This window comes from Homo sapiens, chromosome 8 (genome assembly GCF_000001405.40).
Source record: "Homo sapiens chromosome 8, GRCh38.p14 Primary Assembly".
Taxonomy (NCBI): domain Eukaryota; kingdom Metazoa; phylum Chordata; class Mammalia; order Primates; family Hominidae; genus Homo; species Homo sapiens.
Genome location: NC_000008.11, coordinates 80,117,168 through 80,141,210, shown reverse-complemented (window position 1 = coordinate 80,141,210; position 24,043 = coordinate 80,117,168). Strand labels below are relative to the sequence as shown.

At 39.7% G+C, this 24,043-nt stretch overlaps 2 protein-coding genes across 12 annotated transcripts in view, besides 4 other annotated features; both read left to right on the top strand.

The window, feature by feature from the left end:
• The window catches only part of TPD52-MRPS28 (TPD52-MRPS28 readthrough), a 252,848-nt gene that overhangs the window by 30,354 nt on the left and 198,451 nt on the right, over positions 1-24,043 (top strand). The window lies entirely within an intron of this gene.
• The window catches only part of TPD52 (tumor protein D52), a 140,483-nt gene that overhangs the window by 30,354 nt on the left and 86,086 nt on the right, over positions 1-24,043 (top strand). For 2 of the 11 annotated variants that reach the window (NR_105035.2, NR_105037.2), the window contains exon 2: positions 21,327-21,396. The exons of the other annotated variants lie outside the window; for them this stretch is intronic. The gene's annotated coding sequence lies outside the window, so the exon portion shown is untranslated. The remainder of the gene's footprint in view (positions 1-21,326; positions 21,397-24,043) is intronic. 11 annotated transcript variants of the gene reach the window in all.
• Positions 2,583-2,632: an enhancer, noted in NCBI's record as "active region_27560". NCBI's record gives its function as "activates an Ori minimal core promoter by ATAC-STARR-seq in GM12878 lymphoblastoid cells {active_cell/tissue: GM12878}" and the evidence as "EXISTENCE:reporter gene assay evidence [ECO:0000049][PMID:35858748]".
• Positions 6,618-6,667: an enhancer, noted in NCBI's record as "active region_27559". NCBI's record gives its function as "activates an Ori minimal core promoter by ATAC-STARR-seq in GM12878 lymphoblastoid cells {active_cell/tissue: GM12878}" and the evidence as "EXISTENCE:reporter gene assay evidence [ECO:0000049][PMID:35858748]".
• Positions 18,762-18,861: an enhancer, noted in NCBI's record as "active region_27558". NCBI's record gives its function as "activates an Ori minimal core promoter by ATAC-STARR-seq in GM12878 lymphoblastoid cells {active_cell/tissue: GM12878}" and the evidence as "EXISTENCE:reporter gene assay evidence [ECO:0000049][PMID:35858748]".
• Positions 19,032-19,091: an enhancer, noted in NCBI's record as "active region_27557". NCBI's record gives its function as "activates an Ori minimal core promoter by ATAC-STARR-seq in GM12878 lymphoblastoid cells {active_cell/tissue: GM12878}" and the evidence as "EXISTENCE:reporter gene assay evidence [ECO:0000049][PMID:35858748]".

Here is a 24,043-nt window from a genome sequence, read left to right as displayed (position 1 = left end):
ATTAGGAGTGATGTCTGGGAGGTGAGGCTGATGTGTCGTGAGTTGCATGGAGTATGAATGTGATGTGGAATTAACCTTCAAACAGCTTAGTCTAGTAGTGGAGTTACATTTTGTATGTAACTGTGGAAAGTGACACATGCACAGAGCCACAGATGATCCACGTGTTGCTAACACTGGGTGGTGTGGTTCATCCATGCCTCATAATGTCATGATTGATACTCTTTCTACACACACACACACACACACACACACACACACACGAGTTGTATTGCCCCTGAAAATGCTCCTCTTGGTCTGTTCTTCCTGCCGGTATGACAGAACTTCCTGAGATTGTTGAGTTTAGGGTTAAATCAAATCTGAGGTGACCCACTCGTTAGTTTGGTAGTGTTTCCCCATCGTTTTCCTGTTGCTAAGTGGTGCAGGAGTAGAAGCTGGTGCAATAGTTTCCTAGAGTGCGGTGCAGCTAACCCTTTTACGTACATCATATTGTTTAGAATTTGTTACCACCTTCAACCAATTCATATAAAAATAGATTACATGTGGGAGTTGTATTTGTTTGTGTGTGGTGTGCATCCAAGTCAGTGTTAATTTTAAGTGAGTGTCCTGCACTCTGGGTGTTTTTCGTAGCTACAAGGAAGCCTTAACCGTTGTTACTTACAATGGATTACTTTTCAAAAGTTGTTTAATCTCTTTCAGGTCATTAATGGCTTGGAGACTAATAAGCAAAACCATTAAATACTACTTTATGTCTGAAAAAAGAGTTAATGTTCCTGGAAAAAGCGAGCTGTTTTCTTTAGTTAACAAGGTGGAGCTGGTGTTCCCAGTGGTTCCGGTTCTAATAAGACTTGATGAGTTGGAAATGATGTTATTCTGGAGACAACTGTGGAGTAATTAGAATTTTACCTCATTTTAATTAAAAGATTCTAACTCTAACCTACCTTCCCAGGCATTTGGGAAAGGCACAGGTAGGTCTCCTTGCCAGTGAGGCTCCACTACTCACTTGTGGGGTTGACATCAGGAGAACCCAGGACTTGGGCCTTAGTGAGGTCTCACGTTCTCACCACTAAACAAAGAGAAAGCATTTATGCAGGCATCGAACCAGCGTCTGTGTGTCACAGCTGGACTGGTGCTGAAAAAATCACCAGGGCCTTAGCATAAAACAAAGGCTGCTTTATTATGTTGAGAGCATAAATAGGCTTCTTTTCTTTTTTCAGTCAGATATGAAATTAGAGTTGCTTACTGCTAACATGGAGCCTGCTGGATTGAGCTGTTTTGCTCACTTCTGCCAGATAATCAGAAGAGCCGGGTGGGGTCCCCTAGCTGGGTGACTGGGAGTCAGGCATCCATCCCCCGAACATCAGGCTCCCCATTTGTAAATGTCTTGTATTCCTGTCAAGATGGTTAGGAGGATTGAAAAACGCCGTTGTATTTTATTTGATTTTGATAATACACTTAACATGAGATCTAACCTCTTAACAAATTTTTAAGTGTATAATGCAGTATTGTTAGCTATAGTGTTCAAGTGCATTGGGAGGCGCTATCCAAATGCAACCCCTTCCCCGCCCTCACCCCCACCCCCCGTTTATTGCTACTTGTTATTTTCATGGTTGTGCTGAATTTTTCCCCAAGGCAAATCTTTACCTCTGCCCTTGAAGTTGCATATGCCCCAGAGTGGGTAATTATTAACTGTATTAATCTGGACCATATACTGTACAGTCTTTGGATAACCTGGACAGTTTATAATTTTAAATGTTTTAAAAGTTTGCAAGTCTGAAACTCTGAAAAAATTTTTTTTTTCATAAAAATACTAGCCTAGGCTGCTGATGGATGTGGGTTTCTTTTTGGGGTATGAAAATTAGATTGCGGTGATGTTTGCATAACTCTGTGAATATACTAAAAACCAGTGAACCATACTCTTTATAAAAAAATAGTGGATTTTATAGTATGCGAATTATTTCTCAAGCTGCTATTAGAAACAAAACACTGTCCTAATTGTTACTGTAAAAATACCCTTATTTTCTCCCCTCCCTGCCAGTGTCTTAGGCAGAGCAGCCATTCAGTAAATACAGGTGGCTGAGTGTTGAATAATATAGTTGAAATAATCCAAGTGGCACAAATAGATGAGAGTGGAAGTGGGGGCTGCAGTGTCAGTTGTAGAAATCTCACGGGAGGCAGACTCATGGGGTGGCTGAGACGGTGGCTCCTTTGTCAGTGGAGGCACTGGAGGAAGAAGACCCCACTAGCAGGAGAGGCTCTGGGTCGGAGGGGCTGCCATGATCCTGGAAACAGGTCATCTGGTTGGCTCGTGTTTGAAAGTTGAGAATACTAATATTTTATGGTCCAAATTTTGGTTACCTTGGCCTTGTAAATCAGGAAGCCGTCTGATGACAGGATGAGCCTAAGGTGGGGAGGGGAGGATGCGGTGAGCCACAGGTTCTCAATGTTCAGAGAGCCAGTGTCCTTAAATAGCGAGGTGAAGAGCTCAATTAGGAACCAAAGCCAAAAATGAGCTGAGGCAAGATGGTAGAACCCAGGCCTGGATCTGAGCAGTTGTCAAAAGTCTGGTTACAACATTTGAGAGTGTGGTGTTCAGCTACCTTTTTGGATTCAGTTTTAGTTTTTTATTTGCATATTCTTTTTCTTTTTGATAAAGCTCTATGAGGACTATGTTTTCAACTCCCTAGATGCATATAGTCCTGTACTCAGATATAATGTATCTAATCTCTTCCCAGATTTATAATTGCAAACCATAAGCCACTTTGAGTTGTGTTCCAGCACCTGCCGAAGGAGACGACTAAATGATATGAACCCCATTTTCCTCCTAAGAGGGCATTCAAATTCTCTTCCTCTTGGATTTTATGAAATCAGATTTCAGTTGGAAGATTCTGTCACTTGGCCTCTTATTGTCAAACACAGGTACCTTTTAACGCAGACTTCTACTGAGAAATAATTAGAGACAGGGTCTCATGGTCAGGCGCGGTGGCTCATGCCTGTTATCTCAGCACTTTGGGAGGCTGAGGCGAGCGGATCACCTGAGGTCGGGAGTTCACCACCAGCCTGACCAACATGGAGAAACCCCATCTCTACAAAAAATACAAAATTAGCCGGGCGTGGTGGCGCATGTCTGTAATCCCAGCAACTTGGGAGGCTGAGGCAGGAGAATTGCTTGAACCTGGGAGGCGAGGTTGCAGTGAGCCAAGATCGTGCCATTGCACTCCAGCCTGGGCAACAAGAGTGAAACTCTGTCTCAAAAAAAAGAAAAAAAAAAGAAAAGAGACGGGGTCTCATTCTGTCGCTCAGGCTGGAGTGCAGTAGCACAATCATGACTCACTGCAGCATTGAACTCGTGGGCTCAAGTGATCCTCCCGCCTTGGCCTCCCAAAGTGCTGGAATTACAGGCCACCCTACCTTGCTGAAATATTTAAATTCTGAAGGACCAAACTATCCCCTTCTCAAAGAACAATATGAACTAGCACCGTTATAAACTTGGTACTGCTGTAAGAGTCCTACTCCTGAGGGCTTCCACCCATCTTATTTTCATACTTATGAAAAATAATACATGTTCAAAGCAAATGAATCCAAACAGTATGCAATTAAAACTCAAACTCTCTTAGCCTAGACCCATTTCTCCCAGAGCGGCTGTTATGATCAGCCTCTGGGTGTCCTTCCAGAAATGTCTAGGCAGGTAATGTATACAATCACTTTAAAAGTTCAAATGGGAACATGTCATACACATTATTCTGTACTTTGCTTGTTTTAACTGACACGTATCTTGGATATTAAAAAAAAAATCTAACATATAGTTTCCATTTTTTAAGAAAAAAGCTTTATTGATATATAATTTGCCATAAATAATCACCATATAGTTTACCTTAAAATTCACTTGTTTTAAATGTACAATTCAGTGATTTCTAGTAAACTTACAGAGTTGTGCAGTGATCACCACAATCTAATTTTAGAATATTTTCATCACCCTGTGTCTATTTACAGCCACTCCACATCCCGTGCCCGCAGGCAAACACTTATCTATTTAGTTTCTATAGATTGATTTTATTACTCTTTTTAATAGCAACCTGTGGTCCATTTTGGAAAAATACAAACATGTATTTAATTGTGCTTTATCCAAGCACATTTAGCTTTTGCTGATGTTTTATTTTGCTGCCTGCCTACTTTAAAAAAAATTGGAAAAGATTGAAATTTTGTCTTTGAGCCATACTTGTTAAGAGTGATAAGGGAGTTTTAGCTGAAGTTGTTTGTAGATTTTCCAGTCATTACCTGTGGAACTAGGAGAAGAATTTTGGGGCCTGGATAATTATTTATATTTGAATAGAAACTGCCTGAGGTTGTTCTTGATTAGATGAAAGCCCCAGCATTTATTGTGTATTTTATGGATGTGGGTGAAGTGGAACTAAGTATTTACACATGATTGGGGTGAAGGGGGATTTATTATTTCAGTTTTTTGCCTTTGTCTCTACCTAGGAGGATTTTAGGAGCTGTTGAGTGTTCAGAAGTATGTCTTCGGATATATTCTCCATACTGTTTCTTGGGACCTTTTACTGGGTTGTGGATTTTGACCAAGTGTTTTTTTAAGAAGAACAAAGTAGTAGAACAGTATGAGACCAAAATGTCCTTCATGTTCTAATGGTGAGCACTGTTTTCTTTTTTTTTTTTTTTTTTTTTTTTTTTTGAGACAGAGTCTCGCTCTGTCGCCCAGGCTGGAGTGCAGTGGCGTGATCTCAGCTCACTGCAAGCTCTGCTTCCCGGGTTCCTGCCATTCTCCTGCCTCAGCCTCCTGAGTAGCTGGGACTACAGGTGCCCACCACCACGCCCGGCTAATTTTTTGTATTTTTAGTAGAGATGGGGTTTCACCGTGTTAGCCAGGATGGTCTCGATTTCCTGACCTTATGATCCACCCGTCTCGGCTTCCCAAAGTGCTGGGATTACAGGCGTGAGCCACCGCGCCCGGCCATTGTTTTCTTAAATGTCAACTTTTGTTTAAATGTGTGTGTGAGTGTGCTTGTTTTTTTTTTAACCTCAAAGACTGAAATTTTTTTTTTTAATTAATTAATTTATTTTTTATTATACTTTAAGTTTTAGGGTACATGTGCACATTGTGCAGGTTAGTTACATATGTATACATGTGCCATGCTGGTGCGCTGCACCCACTAACTCGTCATCTAGCATTAGGTATATCTCCCAATGCTATCCCTCCCCCCTCCCCCCACCCCACAACAGTCCCCAGAGTGTGATATTCCCCTTCCTGTGTCCATGTGATCTCATTGTTCACTTCCCACCTATGAGTGAGAATATGCGGTGTTTGGTTTTTTGTTCTTGTGATAGTTTACTGAGAATGATGATTTCCAATTTCATCCATGTCCCTACAAAGGACATGAACTCATCATTTTTTATGGCTGCATAGTATTCCATGGTGTATATGTGCCACATTTTCTTAATCCAGTCTATCATTGTTGGACATTTGGGTTGGTTCCAAGTCTTTACTATTGTGAATAATGCCGCAATAAACATACGTGTGCATGTGTCTTTATAGCAGCATGATTTATAGTCCTTTGGGTATATACCCAGTAATGGGATGGCTGGGTCAAATGGTATTTCCAGTTCTAGATCCCTGAGGAATCGCCACACTGATTTCCACAATGGTTGAACTAGTTTACAGTGTGCTTGTTAAGTAGTAATTATCAGAAATGTTGGAAAACCAGTGCCTTAAGAGTAAGGGTATATTCAGGCTTCCTCTTTGTCAGAGCTCTAACTCTCCTGGGGGGCAGGTAGGCTGGGGCAGGTAGGGTGAGAAGACTCAGGTAGTTCACCGAGATAAAACTTTGTTGAGGTTGGCTGGGGAAGTGAGCCAGTTGTCTTGGGAAGTGGGAGGTGAAAATGAAACTCCCTGTGTGACCACTTTTCTCTATCAAAAATAATAAATTATTTCAAATGTTCTAAATAAGGAGGCTTTGGATAGATTTTAGTCAGCTTGTTAGCTATTCAATTCTGGCAACAACCGTGTGTACATCTAGACTAGGGAGACGTTTACAATTAAATTCACTGGGTCTTGTGGTTGGAAGTAACCTGAAGGGATATCTATGCAAGTTTCCATCCTGTGTGTGCATCCCTTCTGTAATACCTCTGCCTGGCAGTTCAGCATCTGCACTTGCGTACGTCTCCTGGAAGGGAATTCATGAACTCTCTTGGGATCCCAGTTCTTGTCAGCTTCTTCATGTTGAAACCCTCAGGCTTCATATATCTCAGGGTTTGGATTGGCATTAGTTATCTATCGCTGTGTAACAAATTACCTCATCATTAAGGGGCTTAAGGCAACAAATATTTATTATGTCAGGAACAAGTCAGGAGTCTTGGAGCAGCTCATCTGGATGGTGTGGCTCAGGGCCTCTCGTGAGACTGTGGTCAAGTTGACAGTTGGGGCTGTCGTCATTTGGAGGCTGAATGGACTAACGGATCCACTTTCAACACGGCTCCTGCACCTAGTTGCTGGCAGGAGGCCTCAGTTCCTACTGTGTGGACCTCCACTTGGAGCTGCCTGAGTGTCTTCATGACACACTCTCTCTCGGATCAGAAAGGAGACATTAGTAATGCCAAGGATACTCCTTTACTCCCTTCACAAGTGGGCACAGATATGGTCCTTTTTCCACCAGCTCTAGAAAGAAACATGCAGAGATGTTTGAAGGCAAGAAGACAGTGGCCTGCATGACTTGGAGCTTTTCTTAATTGTAAGTCAGAGATAATAATTAATGTCATGCCTAGTTCAGAGAATTATTGTGTGACTCAAATGAGATGATGAGCATTAAGACATTGGAAACTTTAGGTACTATATGAATGTTTTCTTATTGGGGCAAACCATTTTCCTCTTGTAAAGGTGAGCCCAGGGACATGTCTCTCCCCCATCTCTATACTATCAGTTCTGATCTTTGAATGATTGCAGTGCCCCTCATAGGGTTGGGTAAGGACCAAGGCAGAGAATATGTAGATAATGCAGCACAGTACCCGGCACATAGTAAGCATTCAGTTAACAGCTACAATTACTTAATGGTTTTGAAATAGATATGCCAGGCACTAAAGAAAATTAATTGATAAATGAAATAACTACTGCTCCTAAGCTGTGGCCGTGGATTAGAATCACCGTGTCTGCCATGTCACTGACTCTACAGAATACTGTATATGGAAAAATGGTTTTTATTATTTGTTATTTTCTATATTTGGATGACATTTCTGATCTGAATTTCAACCGTGACTTCTAGTCCTCTGTATCTTCTTCTTATTCTGACTTGCTACAATATAAACTTCATCCTTTAAAGAAAAAGTGACCCTGTTATTCTTCCTTGGGGTGTTTTGAATATCCTCCCCCTCCTTGCCCAGCTTCCCTCAAATGTGCCAACAATTTTTTTCTTTTCTTTTCTGTTTTTTTTTTTTTTTAGCATCAGCGGTACCATCAAGTTCCTGGACTCTTGAACTTGATGAAATCGAGATAGTTTCTGTAGGGCTCCATTTGGAATTGAGGAGCAGGTGTGGTCTAGACCTAAGGTCCAGTGGTGGGAGGAATGGAAAGAAGAAATGGAGCCAAAGGAAACTGAGGGAAGGATTCATGTTTCTCTGGCTCAGTGAGTGGGTGGGTCAAAGAAATAAAATGTTTGTAATTGGTTTTAAGCCTGGGCAACTGGAGAAAGTGGTGGTAGTGTTAATAAGAGACCAGGAGGAACACAAAGAGGAAAGAATATCTGGTTTTGGAGGGAAGAAGGAAAATTCAGTTTTGATTCTGAATTTGAGGGGGGTTGGCATCCACCAGACAGCTAAACATGGAATATGGCCCATGGGTGGTGGTAGCAGTCCTTGCTGCTATTCCTGGAACCTCTCAGAGGGTCAATCACAGGCTGTCACCGTTTGCCTAAGTGGTATCCTAAGAAAATGTCTGAAGTGGTCCAGGAAGAGGGGCCGATAATTATTGAGTAAAGGTAAAGGGAACACACATTATTAGACTGGTGCTTTTGAATGTCATATTTATTCTTAATAGCAACTATATGAGTTATATGTGCATACCTGGTTTTACAAATGCAGGAAAAAAGGACCGGAGTGACCAGGTAAGCTATCCAAGGTTATGCAGCTAAGAGGTGTTGGAGCCAGGATTTGAACTCTACACTCAGTTTTCATCAGTGAACAGATTTTCCTTTTACATCAGCATCAGAAGCATTATGGCTGGCTGAACTGATAGAGAACTAGCAAGTATGGACTCAAAAGTGGCATGGGGACCCCTTAGTAATTAATTACTGAGGGTAACTAAACTCCAGGTAACCTTTTGCCCCTTCCTTTCTTCCAGCCATTGGAAGAACGTCCTCATGTGGTACAGTGTCAGGCAGGAGACCCATGTTTCTTTCTCTGAATCAATAGTGGGTGGCACAGAACAACAAAAGGACGTCTGCTTTTAGATCCTGGGCTTCCAAATCTTCTGGCGCCATCAGCTCCCCTTCCCTCTTGGCACCTCTCCTGTCCTCACCCTGGTATGTTGTAAACCCAAGAAGTACTATTCTCTGGGTCCACCTGCCCATAGGATCCTGAATCTTCACACAAACAATAGTAGTCACAATTCTAACAACCAGTTCTGAAACATTTACTATATACTGAATGATTTGCAAACATAGAAAAGTTAATTTTCACGGCAACCGAATGAAATAGATTTTCGGCCTGGCATGGTGGCTCACACCTGTAATCCTAGCCCTTTGGAAGCCTGAGGTGGATGGATCACTTGAGTGCAAGAGTTTGAGACCAGCCTGGACAACATGGAAAAACCACGTCTCTACCAAAAAATTAAAAAAATTAGCTGGGACTACAGGTCCTGGTATATTGTAAACCCAAGAAGTGCTGTTCTCTGGGGCCACCAGCCTTTGTATTATGTTGGTGTGGAGGAGGGAGGATTGGTATACAGATAAATTTGCCCATAGGCTCCTAAATCCTCACACAAACAGTAGCAATCACAATTTTAACAACACAACTTTAACAGGTGCTACAGGTGCTACCTGTAGTCCCAGCTATTTGAGAAGCTGAGGTGGGAGGATTGCATGAGCCCAGGAGATTGAGACTGCAGTGAGCCAAGATCACACCACAGCACTCTATCCTAGGCGATAAGAGTGAGACCCTGTCTCCAAAAAAAAAAAAAGAAAGAAAGAAAAATAGATTTTTATTATCCTATTCTCATTGATGAGGAACTTCAGGTTCAGTGAGTTGAGATTTCACCATTTCATACATCTAATCAGTAGGAGAGTTGGGTTTGCATCCCTAGTTCTTCTGACTTGACAGCTGCGTTCTTAACTAGGATGCTGAATTGCGTCTTCATAGAAAATCTGTCTCCAAACCAAAACCTTTTCCACCCACATCTATTAATAGTTTTACGCTATTCAGTATAGATGGCTGCCACGTGGAGCACCTGTAAAGGGGTGTGTGGCTGTGAGCGGCCACTGAGTATCTTAAAGTGTGTGAGCTCATAGGTATTATTGTAGGGTATCTGGTCCTAAGGTATCTTGGAAGACTAAATGTGGCCAAATTTCAACAATGTTGGAATGGAATGAAGGGTAGAGGAAGTGAACTGTTAGTAGTGGCCCAGGACTCTTGCTACAAAAGCCACCAGGCATAACTGGTTCCACCTATAACTGGGAAATTCAGCTGGAGTCTTGCCAAGGAGTAGCTAGAGTGGAGGGATTGGAAGACATACTGATCTTTTGAAGATACCTGGATACAGTTGATACCAGATTAGCACTTAAAAGGGAGTCAATATTCCTCTGAGTACCAATTAATATTTGAGGGTATATAATATGCTAGGTGTTTTCCTTTGAAATATGTATACAGTGATTAATAAAGCAGATTTATTAGAATAATAGTTTATTAATTCCTAGTAGAAGTATAACAGGCAGATGGAATCGTTGGACTGACTGGTCAGTTTGTTTCCTTTCAAGTAGCTTAGCCATTCTGGATATTTCAAAGAGTTGTCTTTGCTGATTTTTTTCTCCTGATCTCAACACCAGCCTTTCTTCTTGGCTCTCCTCTCTATTCTGACCACACTGGCTCTTTAGGTCACCTTCCTCAGGACCAAAGCTTTAAATACCATTCAGTCACTGACTCCTGAAGCTAAACCTCTACCCCTCACCCCACCCACATTTTAACAATTTACGGAAGACACTGTGTGAAAAATTACCCTATGCACTTGAGAAAGGTCTGGGTAAATTACTTTCTTCCTAGATTGTTCTCTTTAAAAATTTGTTTTAAGCATTTGGGTTAAACAGTAATTTTGTTTGAATGGTGAAAATAGTTTAAATACGTTAAATGATTCCCCTTTTTGTTAACGGAGCCCTGAAATCAGGTATTTTATTTCCCAGCCTTTAGTTGATATTGTAGTGCATTGAAGACTCTTACTGAACAGAAAATGCCAGGATTTATATTCCTGGTGAGTTGGATTGAGGGAAGGTTGGTCACCAAACAGTCCAGCTGGTAGCTCTGCATCTTAATTTCTAAGTCATGCCGCAGAATGTTATTTTAAGCTATACACTTATGAAATATATTTTCTAGTATCTTGTTGTGATTTCTTGACTCTGTCTTGTCCATCTCAATTTAAGATCCAATTTAACTAAAAATTCCTGCTGTGGGCAAGAAGAGTGCTCTGGGTGGAGGGCACAGCATATGAAATGTCCTGAAGGTTAAGTAGCTCTTTGGAAAACTGCTCATCAACCAGATGGTTACCATGTAGAATATGATGGGACTGGTAGGAAGAAATCAGAGGGCTAAAAAATCTGCTACATTTAGGAGTAAACGTGGTCCTAAGAGCAATCGGTCCTTAAAACCACTGAAGGATTTTAAGCCGTGTAATGACATAATTTGGGTTTTGTCTGCAACCAGACATTGCAAAGTAAGTTAGAAGTTTTTAATGGTGGTTTCATCAAGCCTGAAATACTGACTTCTGTGATTTTGTCTGTGTCTGTTCCCTTTTTCATCCTTTCCACCCCATGTCTATTCCAAACTTGCAAAACTTTCCCTCCACCTCCTCTTCATCTCAGCAGATGCTCTTGTCTTCTCTCTCTGAGCAATCTGAGCCAATTCGGTGTGACCTCTTGGGCTTCTTGTCACTTTCCTTCTTCAGAATATAAAACTCGTGACCTGGCTGACCTCTTATCCAGGATGATCATTTAGAAACAAAGGAGAGTGGCCGGGAGCAACGGCTTACGCCTGTAATCCCAGCACTTTGGGAGGCCAAGGCCAGTGGATCATGAGGTCAAGAGATAGAGACCATCCTGGCCAACATGGTGAAACCCCGTCTCTACTAAAAATACAAAAATTAGCTGGGTGTGGTGGCGTGCGCCTGTAGTCCCAGCTACTCAGGAGGCTGAGGCAGGAGAATCGCTTGAACCTGGGAGGTGGAGGTTTCAGTGAGCTGAGATCGCGCCACTGCACTCCAGCCTGGGTGATGGAGACTCCGTCTCAAAAAAAAAAAAAAAAAAGAAATGAGAGTTAGGATTTGAGAGAAGTCGGGGGAGGATGCCACGGTTCTCCTTTCTAATTGCTAAAGTCAGTGAAATCAGCTAAACAAACTATGGAACATACATTGTGGTTCTCAGGGAAATATAAAACAACAACATGCAGGTAGAATACAAGAGCAAAGAAGAGTGATGAGCACTTAGCTATGGCTCAGCTGACAAATTCCAGTGCTGACGTTGCTATCCGGCCAGCATTCTACGTCCCGTGTAGAAGGATTTGTTGTTCGTGTCAATGTCTTAGCAGATTTGTAATGCTTGTATGGGAATTTTAAATGTAAATTTCATGAGCATACAACTTTTAATATAATCATGCTGTTAACTTAATATAAATTTTAATACAAATTGTATGCCTGTGTAAATATACTATTTTATAATTAAACATTTGTTCAATACTTTGTGACTGGTTGTGATTTTTAAAATAATAGCAATTATTTTTTAAAAATTTTAAAAAGAGTTTATGTTCTGAGGCAAGCAGATATGAATAGTGGGGAACAACCAATAATTTTTTCACTATTAATAAATTCATGTATATCTAATATATAGGAGATGAGAACTAGGAAGTATCAAGCTTGAATCTTGCTTATCCACCAAATTCTTGAAAATAAGTGAATGACTATGTCAATCAAAATTTATCTTCAAGTTAGAAGACATTCAAGCAAACTTCAAAGGCTTAATGTTTTTTAAAAATCTTGTAATTTATATTTTTGTAAATAGTTGAAATGTAACATTACAGAGAATGAAATCATTCTGGTACTAATCTAGCATTTCTTCCTGAAAAAAAAAACCCAGATGTAAAAATGATCAAGAGAAATTTAGAAAACATGAAACAAATGAAGAAGTGAATTCTTTAAAATTTACTGCAAATTTTGATGGAAATGGTAATACTGTCTGATACAGTATTACATCTTAATATCTAATATTACCAGTATTAGTATCTGTCTGATACTGTTTATTAATTTTTTTAATATTTAACATTTAAATTTATTTTATTTTATTTTATTTTATTTGAGACAGGGCCTTGCTCAGTTGCCCAGGCTGGAGTGTGGTGGCGTGATAATAGCTCACAGCAGCCCTGACCTCGTGGGCTCAAGCAGTCTTCCCACCTCAGCCTCCTGAGTAGCTGAGAAGTATGGGTGTGTACCACCATGCCCAGCATTTTTTTTTTTTTTTTTTGTAGAGACAGGGTCTCCTTGTGTTGCTCAGGCTAGGGGTCTTGAACTCCTGAGCTCAAGCAGTCTTTCCACCTCGGCCTCCTAAAGTGCTGGGATTATACGCATGAGCCACTGCTCCCGGCCAATGATAAATTATTATCTATTCACTCAAGATAGACAGAAAAATAGAATGTACTTGAAATTTTTAGTAAAATATCTTACTTATTAAAGAGTTTACCATTATGAGGTGATATGTTGTTTTCCTTCTATGAATAAAAGTAAAAATCAGAATAAAAATATACAAAAATAAATTTTAAAAATATACAAAATGAACAGATTTCAAGTGAGATAATAAAGGTTGAAATGGACATTATGAGATAATTGTTTCTTTTGTTTACTTAGTAATGTGATAAGACAGTCTATAGTACTGCGGACAGCTGGCAATTTAAGATAGCCTTTGACATTTTCAGCAGCTATCTAATTTTCATTAGCTGCTTGTTAGAAAATGTAAAAAAAAAAACAAAACAGAAATACAAACCAAAACCAAGCAGCACAGAAGAGTACAAAGTGAAAAACAAAACCATTGCTATCTACTTCCCTGATTTTTGAGTCCTATTTTTGAGAGAGAACCACTATAATGTTTTAGTATTTACCTTTATATTTTTTATTATGTATCTCTGTGTGTGTGTGTGTGTGTGTGTGTGTGTGTGTGTGTGTGTGTGTGTGTGTTTATTTAGAAATCACAAGTGGGACCTGTATTTGTCAGGTTCTAGATTATAGGATAATTCCTGTAAAAATCTCAAAGTTTCTGTTTCTTTGCATAATAAAATTTGAACACTTGCTGGTCTGATTTGCAGTGTCTTTATTTGGGTTTTTCTTCTTGGCAGTGCTCCATTAAATGGAAACTCAGGAACCCAGGATCTGTCCACATGGTGGCTTTACTCCCACCTGTTTGGATGTGAAAAACAGAATTCGAATTATAGAATTAGAGAAAAAGAACCAAGAGCTCTATAGCCAGGCTGCCATCTTTACCTTTTGAGTTTGTAAGTAATTAGATTTGTGAAGATATGAACATCCTGTCAATTTTTTGTCATTCTGTCAGTTTCACTCTATAGTTAACATTCATGCATTTATACAATGATTGTCAAATTATCAAAATATACATGAACGTGAACGAAGTGAAGTTATAATACACAGGAGGATGATAATCCATCAAAAATATTCAGGCCATCAGTTTGGATGAGAGAGCTGGAGAGTGTTGAAATGTTTCAAGTTGTATCAAAAGATTCTTTACATTTATAGTTAGCTGATGAGTCAATTGATTGTTTGACAGTGGTTTCTAAACCTGAATTTCTTTTGTACAAAATTTCTTTTAACATGGTATCTTTCTCTTCTTTTTTTTTTTTGAGACATCATCTTGCTCCATTGCCCAGGCTCTAGAATACAGTGGCATGATCTCAGCTCCCTGCAGCCTTGGCCTCCTGAGCTCAGGTGATCCTTCCACCTCAGCCTTCTGAGTAACTGGGACCACAGGTGTATGCCACCATGCCTGGCTGTTTAAAAAATTTTTTTGTAGAGACAGGGTTTCTCTATGTTGCTCAGGCTGGGCTCAAGCCACCCTCCCACCTCAACCTCCAAGTATTGGGTTAAAGGTATGAGCCATTGTGCCCTGCCTGATATGCTATTGTAAATGAAACTGTTGTAAATAATTTAAAATCAAAATTATAAACTTTTGGCTGGGCGTGGTGGCTCATGCTTGTAATCCCAGCACATAGGGAGGCTGAGGCGGGTGGATCACTTGATGTCAGGAGTTCAAGACCAGCCCGGTCAACGTGGTGAAACCCCATCTTTACCAAAAAATACAAAAATTGGCTAGGCATGGTGGCGTATGCTTGTAGTCTCAGCTACTTGGGAGCCTGACGTGGGAGAATTACTTGAACCCAGGAGGTGGAGGTTGCAGTGAGCCGAAATTGCACCACTGCCCTCCAGCCTGGGTAACAGAGTGAGACCCTGTCTCAAAAAAAAAAAAAAAAAAAATTATAAACTTTTATCTTCAAAAGCAAAAGCATTGTTTACTGTTTCAGTCAGAGAGAAATGATGCGTAATTAAAATCCATTTGGGATGAACAGAGAATGTTTGCAAAAAAAAAAAAAACCTCAATGAGTATTTCAAAATGAAAAGAAAAATAAAAAAGCAAAAATATTTTTCCCTGTGAAAGAAAAGAATAAAACCAGAATAAGTTATAGAATTTGAGATAATACATTTTCCCCCTTGCTTTCTCAAAATAGTATGTAATTCATAATCTTATGCTTGAATACAAATTTATGCTTAGTTTTTCAGAAATTAATTGGAGCAAAATCAAAATAAATGAAACAAAATATAGATATTAAATAAAGCAAAGATCAAATATGCAGGTGAATTTTACAGACTCCATAAATCTGAGTGTGGACATTTATACAGACTGCAGCTTATCTGTGATTGTGTCACCATATTAATGCTGGCTTCTTATTTCCCTGAGTGAACATACACCCCTTGCTGTGAGCATTCAGGACAGCCTGTTGAGAGTGCTCACGTCCTCCTCACATACTCACTTAGGCCGTGTGTGATGATTCTGGGGTGGGATTTCATAACAAAAGTGTTAGAGCCTACAGCTGTCAGTGGTTTTATGTACAACTTTGTTGCGTTACCTTAGAGACTGACAAGGTTTAATAGTTTATCTCTAGAAATTGTATTCTTAGGTAGCTGAATTGTCATATTTCCTATTTAAATTTTAATCACTTAGGAGTCTTTAGGACCTTAAAATTGGGTGTGATGTTGACACTATTGGGTTGACATAATGAATGTTAATGAATTATAAAAATACTGTATTTTATTGATTCTATAATCAAGACACATCCTGTAGTCAGTGGCATCTTAGGTTGAATGAACTGCAGTAGTCTCTCTTTTTTTTTTTAAATCAAAAGGCCAAATTAATTGTGAAAAATGTTAACTTAAAATTTCTCAGAACTTTTGGCTTCTTAATTGCCACTGGAAAAAGAAGTATCAGTATCATCGCCAGCTGTGCAAGGCTTGCATGTTTGTTTGTTTGTTTGTTTTTTAATGGGACAGTGTCTCTCTGTCACTCAGGCTGGAGTTCAGTGGCAGGATCGTAGCTCCCTGTAACCTCAAATGTGCCACCACACCTGGCTAACTTTAGTTTTTGTAGAGAGGGGGTCTCGTTATTAATATTTTGGTTAGGCTAGTCTCTCCAACTACTGGCCTTAAGCAGTCCTTCCACCTTGACCTCCCAAAGTGCTGGGATTATGGCGTGAGCCACTGTGCAGGGCTGAGGCTTGCATCTTCATATCTGTTGGACTCTGTAGTCCTTCATGCTCTTGCTCCTTGGCTCCCTCTTTCTTGAATCTCCACTCTTCCCATCTTGATAAACCATTACCTCTGAGTCTAGTGGTTTCTTAACTCACTTGTACATTAGAATCATCAGGGAAGCTTTAAAAAAAGAAACTGATGCTGACTGGGTGATAATGATGTATCAGTGTAGGTTTATCGATTGTAGCAAACATTATTGTGGCATGGGATGTCAATATGAGTAAGGGAGGTTGTGCATATATGGGGACAGGGGCTATATGGGAACTCTCTGTACTTTCTGCTCAATTTTGCTGAGAACCTAAAATACTCTAAAAAAGAAGGTGGTTTTTTTGTTTGTTTGTTTGTCTTAATGGTCAAATGGTCCTGGGATCAGAATACGTGCTAAGCATGGCAAAAAAGATGATCAACATCATTTAGATAGTGCTATTCTTAAAAAAAAATTCTTTCTCCCCTAGAGTGATGTTATTTTTATGCTAGTGAAATTCATATAAACATACAGCTAGCATATATCATCTAATTTAAGACACTATCAATTGTAAGCCACACTACTAAGATAGAAAATTGCTAATTAAACTATGCCATACTGTGTGTGTATGTGTATGTGTAAACGTACGTATACACACTACTGATGTCTAGGTCCAGACTAAGACCATTGCCTTTAGTCTATGAAACTTGCCAGGCTGGGCAGGGTGGCTCACATCTGTAATCCCAGCACTTTGGGAGGCCGAGGAGGGTGGACTGCTTGAGCCCAGGAGTTCGAGACTAGCTTGGGCAACATGGCAAAACCCCATCTCTAATCTCCACAAAAAATACAAATATTAGCCAGGCACGGTGGTATGCACTGGTAGTCTCAGCTATTTGGGAAGCTGAGGTAGGAGGATCACTTGAGCCCGGGAGGTCGAGATTGCAGTGAGCAAAGATTGTGCCAGTGCACTCTAGTCTGGATGACAGAGTGAGACCCTGTCTAAAAAAAAAAAACAAAAAGAGAGAGAGAGAAACATGCTGATAACCCCTTCTTTGGCTACAGGTCCCTCTCTAGTATTGCCTAACATGTTACCTCCCTTTTTCCTGCACAGTTCTCCAAAGAGGGATGTGTTCTCAGTCTTCACTTTCTTACCTTTTAGTCATGTTCAGCTCAGGTAATTAGGCTTTTCCTTTGTGAGTTTCCTGACATGCTGTCGCTGATAATCACCAGTAACCACCTGCTTGCCTTTCCTTCCTTACTAGACATTCTGTTGCACTGGACGCTGTTGTCCATTCCTTTTCTTGAAACTCTATTTCCAAATCTTTCCAGATGTTGAACTCTCCCAGTGTTTTTCATACCTCTTTGACCAGTACCAAGAATGTAGAACCAAGACTACATTCTTGGTCCATCCTTTATGACAGTTTCCCTGCCTCTCTGTGCCCTCCTTCAGAGAGCTTATACATTTTCAAGTTTTCAGCTACAATTCTGTGCTCATGATTTATAAGCCGTTTCTTTGGTTATTCCCGCCAGCATCAGAATCTTATTTCCAACTGCCCACGCAGCACATCTACTTGGCTATCCCATAAACTTGACCAAGATGGAATTATTAGTAGTATTTCTTTTCATAGAGATGAGGTCTTACTGTGTTGCCAGGCTTGTCTCCGACTCCTGGGCTCAAGCAATCCTTCTGCCTTGGCCTCCCAACTGTTGGGATTACAGGCACAAGCTGTTGTGCCCGGCTGGAATATATTTTTCTTTAAACCTACATTCTCTTTCTTGGTCGGAGGTACCATCGCCCACCTTGTCTTGAGAGTCATTTTTCCCTTTTTTTCAGCCTCTACATACACTCATTTAATAAGACCTACACATTTTATTTTGAATATTTCTCAGCATTTACATTCCCCTCTAAGCCACCAGCATCCTAGCTCAGGACCTCATCTTCACATAGATTCTGCAGAGCCCTCCTGCCTCTGCTTTTGGCCCTTTCAAATTGGTCCTCCACAGTCACCAGAGAGACTCATCTAAGATGCAGACCTGAACTGTCACCTCTCTACCTTATCACCAGCACTTACCTCCTTTCCTCCCACCCACTGTCCTTGTCTCAAGTCAGCTGGTGCCTTTCTGCTCAGAGGACCTCAGTAGTGCTCCTGAGCATGCTTGCAGTTCCGGCTTTCTTCCTACTCCATGCCCCACTGCTGACCTGCTTCTGCCACGGCATGCCCTTGCTGGCCTAGAGGCAGACGTCAGAATTCTCAGCCTAGCAGTGAAGGTTTCCCAAACTATTGTCTGTGGAATTGCCATGTCCTTGTTCATTACCATGCATTCAGCCTGAATCCTGCTTCTGACTGAACACCTTCTTCCCTCTGTGTACTCCAACTGTCACTGGATGGTGCCGTGCAGTTCCAGGCTCTTGGTGTCCTGAACAAAGAATTGGACGTGACACACACAAGTAGCAAAGCAAGCAGCAAAAGTTTATTAAGCACTGTATTACACTCTTGGAGAGAGGAGAGTGGACTGATCTCTGTGAAATGAGATCAGCATCAGTTTGATGTACTTTGGGTATTTGTATGTGTTTTTTTGTCTCTTCTCTTCCCAAGGCTGCCTAATCTTTAGCCAGACTCTGCCATTTAATTGATAGGTGGACTGCTTACTTTGGCCCTTATGTGCTTGTGTGTTGCCTCCATCCCATAATATACAGTCCATATGCATGAGCTTTAATGAGCTGATTATCATATGGGGTCATGTTAAGGATACTTTTTCTCTCTGATGCGCATGCCCATCTCTGAGGAGCCAGCTATGGGGTCTCTTTACTCACTTTTTAATCTTGTTTTTGTTTTGGCTGCTCAGCTTCTGTCTCTTGTTTCTTACTCAGCTACCCATTCACCTTGCTTCTGCTCTCTGCTTTTACTCATTCTGCCCTTTATCCAACTTCCAGTTCCCTCTGTTTTCCTGCATCACAGCTTGGTTTGTCTTACTTTCTGTTTTGTTTTGAGATGTGACGTGTCACCATAGAGAAAGCCCTTATGTAGTAAGACCTGATTCCTTGTTCTCTTGAGAGAACTTTTGTGAGATTTTAGCTAAATTAAATAATTTGATTTTACCTTTCTCATCTATAAAATGACAATAATGATAAAACATCATTGCACAGGAGTTTTTTTTTTTCTTTTGAAGGTGTAAGTAAGCAAAGCAAAGGGGAAGTAGAAAAAAATGTGAAGTAGAAATAATGATAAACATAATTTCTTTATTAATTACATAATTATAATTTTTGAAAAACCCTTTTACTGTGTCTTATTACTACTAGCTGTAGGAACTCAGCTGGAAATCAATGAAAAAACCTTGTAAATGAATAAAGAAAGGGATAAAGCCAGACTGGAGCCCTGGTTTATAAACCAGGCTACCTGTGGATGAAAGGAGATAAAAGAGGACCATCCGATGCAGGTTTTGCGTCGTGAAGGCCACTTGGTTAGGCCTGGGCTTGGATTGTTTTGGAATTAATTCCAGGCATTTGCACTAAGAATGTAATCACAGTAGGAACTCCCTGTAACAGATGTACAGAGTTTAGTGGGAGGTAATTATATTAGATTTTCCACGTGGCTCCTGAGGTTTCAGGGGATTAGTTTGGATGGTCTGTTTGGGCTTGACTACTTTTACACAATGTATTTGTTAGTTTGCTGTACGGTATTCATGGGGATTAATGGCTGCATTAAGTAAGAGTAACCCTAAAACTCTCTGAGAGCTCGTTATAAAAACATTCAGTGAAAATTCTGTCTCCATGGCCATAATCTTTTAATTGAATTGAATTATGTGGCCTCTTATCCTGCACGGAGAAGGGTCTTGTCACTTTCATGTTTACTGGGGGCTCCTGTCACATCTTGCCTTTGCTGGGGCTGTGAAAGGGCAGCAGTTTTGCTGTGTTCACCTTAAATAACCCTTAGTGTTAACATGATTATTTGTTCTTGGTGGAAAATGTTAGAGTGTTGACTTTTGACGTCTTGATAATGATCTTGGATATGTTCACAAATTTCTGTGGGTAGAAGAAGGGAAAACCAACATAAATAAGTTTGTATTTCAGGCTGATTTTTTCTTTTTCCTTTTTTTTTTTTTGAGACAGAGTCTCACTCTGTCGCCCAGGCTGGAGTGCACTGGCGTGATCTCAGCTCACTGCAACCTCTGCCTCCCTGGTTCAAGCTATCCTCCTGCCTCAGCCTCCCAAGCAGCTGGGACTACAGGCACATGCCACCATGCTCAGCTAATTTTTTGAAATTTTATTAGAGATGGGGGTTTCACCATCTTGGCCTGGCTGGTCTCGAACTCCTGGCCTCAGGTGATCTGCTCACTTCAGCCTCCCAAAGTGCTGGGATTACAGGCCTGAACCACCCCGTCCAGTCTGATTTTTTGTTTTAAATGACAAATGAATATTATCTCTATGTTATAAGACATAAGGCAACTGAAGAAAGCCTTCTTAGTGTGAAATATTTATCTTAGATATTTTTTAGCCAAAATGATTTTAGTAAACATTCTGTTTATATTGCTAACTGAAGAAGGTCAAATGACAATGTTGATAAAAGTGCAAGCCATTTCAAAGATTAAAGCAGCACTTCACTTCTATGCATATATTGTGTTTTAGTCCCATCGATAGCTTTTACAGGATCAACCTGTCATTCAATCCATCCATTCTTTTCTTTTTTTTTCTTTTCTTTTTTTTGAAACAGAGTCTTGCTCTGTCGCTCAGGCTGGAGTGCCGTGGCAGCTCACTGCAACCTCTGTCTCCTGGATTCAAGTGATTCTCGTGCCTCACCCTCCTGAGTAGCTGGGATTACAGACGTGAACCACCATGGCCAGCTAATTTTTGCAGTTTCAGTAGAGACAGGGTTTTGCCGTGTTGGCTAGGCTGGTCTGAACTCCTGACCTCAGGTGATCCACCTGCCTCGGCCTCCCACAGTGTTAGGATTACAGGCATGAGCCACCGCGTCCAGCCTATTATTTTTTTTTAGAAATATTCATTTAATTCCAATTTTGTTGTGCTTAGATACCATCTACTGAATCCTTATATATATACATGGTACAAGGTATGTAAACCTCTGTCTGTTATAAATATTTTCTCTCAGGCTGTCACTTGTCTTTTAACTTGTGCTATTCTATCATAACAGAGTTTTAATAGTATATAGTCAAATTTGTCAGTCTCTTAGTAACTTTTGAGTTTTTTATCCCAGAGAGATCCCATCAGTACCCAAATTATTAATGTCCTGTAGTTTTTCTAACATTTTAATTGTGTATATTTTCTAATGTTTTCTGCTATAGCTTTTTATTTCATCTGGAATTTCTGGCTTGAATTAGGGAAAGATTTATCTTTTCTCCACTCATATAAAATGTAAGTATTTTCATACATTAAATTCCTTTATATTTGTGGATCTATTTCTGGACTTGTTTCAAATGTTTTGTTTATTCTTATGCCAGTACTGTGTGGTTTTAAAGGCCATATATTCTTTTAATTTTAAAGAAGCTTATATTTTCTTTCACATGGTGTGAAACAAATTTTACATGAACAGCAAGGTATAAAGTAAAAAATTGAAATCCCTTTTTCTTGAACTCATTCACTATAGTTTCCCTTCCCAAAGTAAACTACTGTTAAATTTCTTGACTTTTTTTCCCCCAGAAAACTGTCCATGTACTAGCACATACACAAAGCCACGGGTAGAAGTTTACAATGGGATAGTATACACATTATTCTTTGCTTTGCTTTTTAAAAAAATAACATCTTTAAGATATAATTCTGATAACCATACAGCTCATTCAATCTATAATTCATTGGTTTTTAGTGTATCCAGATACTTGTACAACATTTACCACAATTTTAGAACATCAACCCAAAAGGATACTCCTTACCCATTAGCAGTCACTCCTCATTCCTCTCCCCACTTCCTTACTCCCAGCCCTAGGCAATTACTGATCTACTTTCTGTCTATAAATTTGCCTATTTTGGATATGTCATATAAATGGGTTTATACATATGTGGTCTTTTGTGTCTGGCTTCTTTCACGTCACATGATGTTTTCAGGGTTCATCCATGGAGTAGCATCTGTCATTACTTAATTTCCTTATTGCTGAATAATATTCCCTTGTATACATGTACCATATTTTATTTATTCAGTCATCAGTTGATGGACATTTGGGTTGTTTTTACTTTTTAACTACTTTGAATACTTGTGTATATTTGTGCATGTTTTTTTGTACAGACATATTGTTTTCATTTATCTTAGATATTTACCTAGGAGTGCAATTATGGGGTAATACAGTAATTTCTATATTTAACCTTTTGAGGAAATGCTAGACGGTTTTCTGAAGTGACTGTACTGTGTTACATACCTGTTAGGAGTGTATGAAGATTGTTGTTTCTCTGGATCGTCACCAACACTTATTATTGTCTTCTTGATTATAACCATTCTAGTGGGTGTGAAGCATGAGGTGGTTTTGATTTGCATCTCCCTGATGTCTAATGATGTTGGCCATCACTGTGTGTGCTAATTGACCATGTGTATGTCTTCTTTGGAGAAATGATTTATTCAGATTCTTTGCACACTTGAAAATTTGGTTGTCTTTTCATTATTGAATGGCAAGAGTTCTTTTTATTTTCTAGATACAATGCCATCATCAGATAGATGATTTTACAGTATTTCCTCACATTCTGTGGGTTGTCTTTTCACTTCGTTGACGGTGTGCTTGAAGCATAAAAGATTTTAATGTTGATGATGTCCAATTTATCTATCTTTTTTTGTGCTTTTGGTGTCCTGTCTAAGAAACCATTGCATGATCCAATGTAGAGTTATATCTGTGTTTTCCTCTAAGAGTTTTATAGTTTAAACCCTTACATTTAGGTCTTTGATTCTAAGTGTATGGTTTGAGGTAGGGGTCCAGTTTTATTCTTTTGCATGTGGCTATCCATTTTCCCCAGCACCATTTAATGAAAAGACTATTTTTCCATGTCAGACTGTCTTGGCACCTTGTCAGAAATCAATTAACCTTAACTGTGAATGTCTATTTCCGAACTCTGAATTCTATTCCATTGACCTATATGTCTATTCTTATATCTATAACACATTATCTTGATTACTGTAGTGTTGTAGTGAAGTTTGAAATTAGAAGGCTTGAGTCTGGGTTGGGTGCGGTGGCTCACACCTGTAATCCTGGCACTTTGGGAGGCTGAGGTGGGCGGATCACGAGGTCAGGAGATCGAGACCATCCTGGCTAACATGGTGAAACCCCATCTCTACTAAAAATACAAAAAATTAGCTAGGAGTGGTGGCACGCGCCTGTAGTCCCAGCTACTCGGGAGGCTGAGGCAGGAGAATCGCTTGAACCTGGGAGGTGGAGGTTGCAGTGAGCCAAGATTGCACCACTACACTCCAGCCTGGGCAATAGAGCAAGACTCTGTCTCAAAAAAAAAAAAAAAAGAAAGAAAAAAAAAGAAAGCATGAGTCCTCTAAGTTGTTCTCTCTTTCAAGATTGTTTTGGCTACTCTGGGTCCGTTGAATTTCTGTGAGAATTTTAGGATCAGCTTGTCAATTTTTGTCAAGAAGTCAGCTGGGATTTTGATAGGCATTACACTGAATCTGTAAATTGATTGAGAGGTATTGTCATCTCCACAATATTAAGTCTTCAGACCCATGAATATGGATGTCTTCCCATTTTTTTAGACTTGCCATTTATTTAAATGTATTTAATTTCTTTCAGCCATATTTTGTAGTTTTCAAAGTATAAATTCTCTTATTAAATGTATTCTTTTCAATGCTGTTGTAAATACAATTTTGTCTTAATTTCAATTTTAGGTTATTCATTGAAATTGTATAGATACGTGATAAGTTTTGTGAATTGATCTTATAAGCCTGCAAAGTTGCTGAACTCATTTATGAGTTCTAATAGTTTTTTAATGGATTCCTTATTATTCTATACATGAGATTATGTTACTGCAAATGGAAATTGTTTTACTTTTTCATTTCCAAAACGGATGCCTTTTAGTC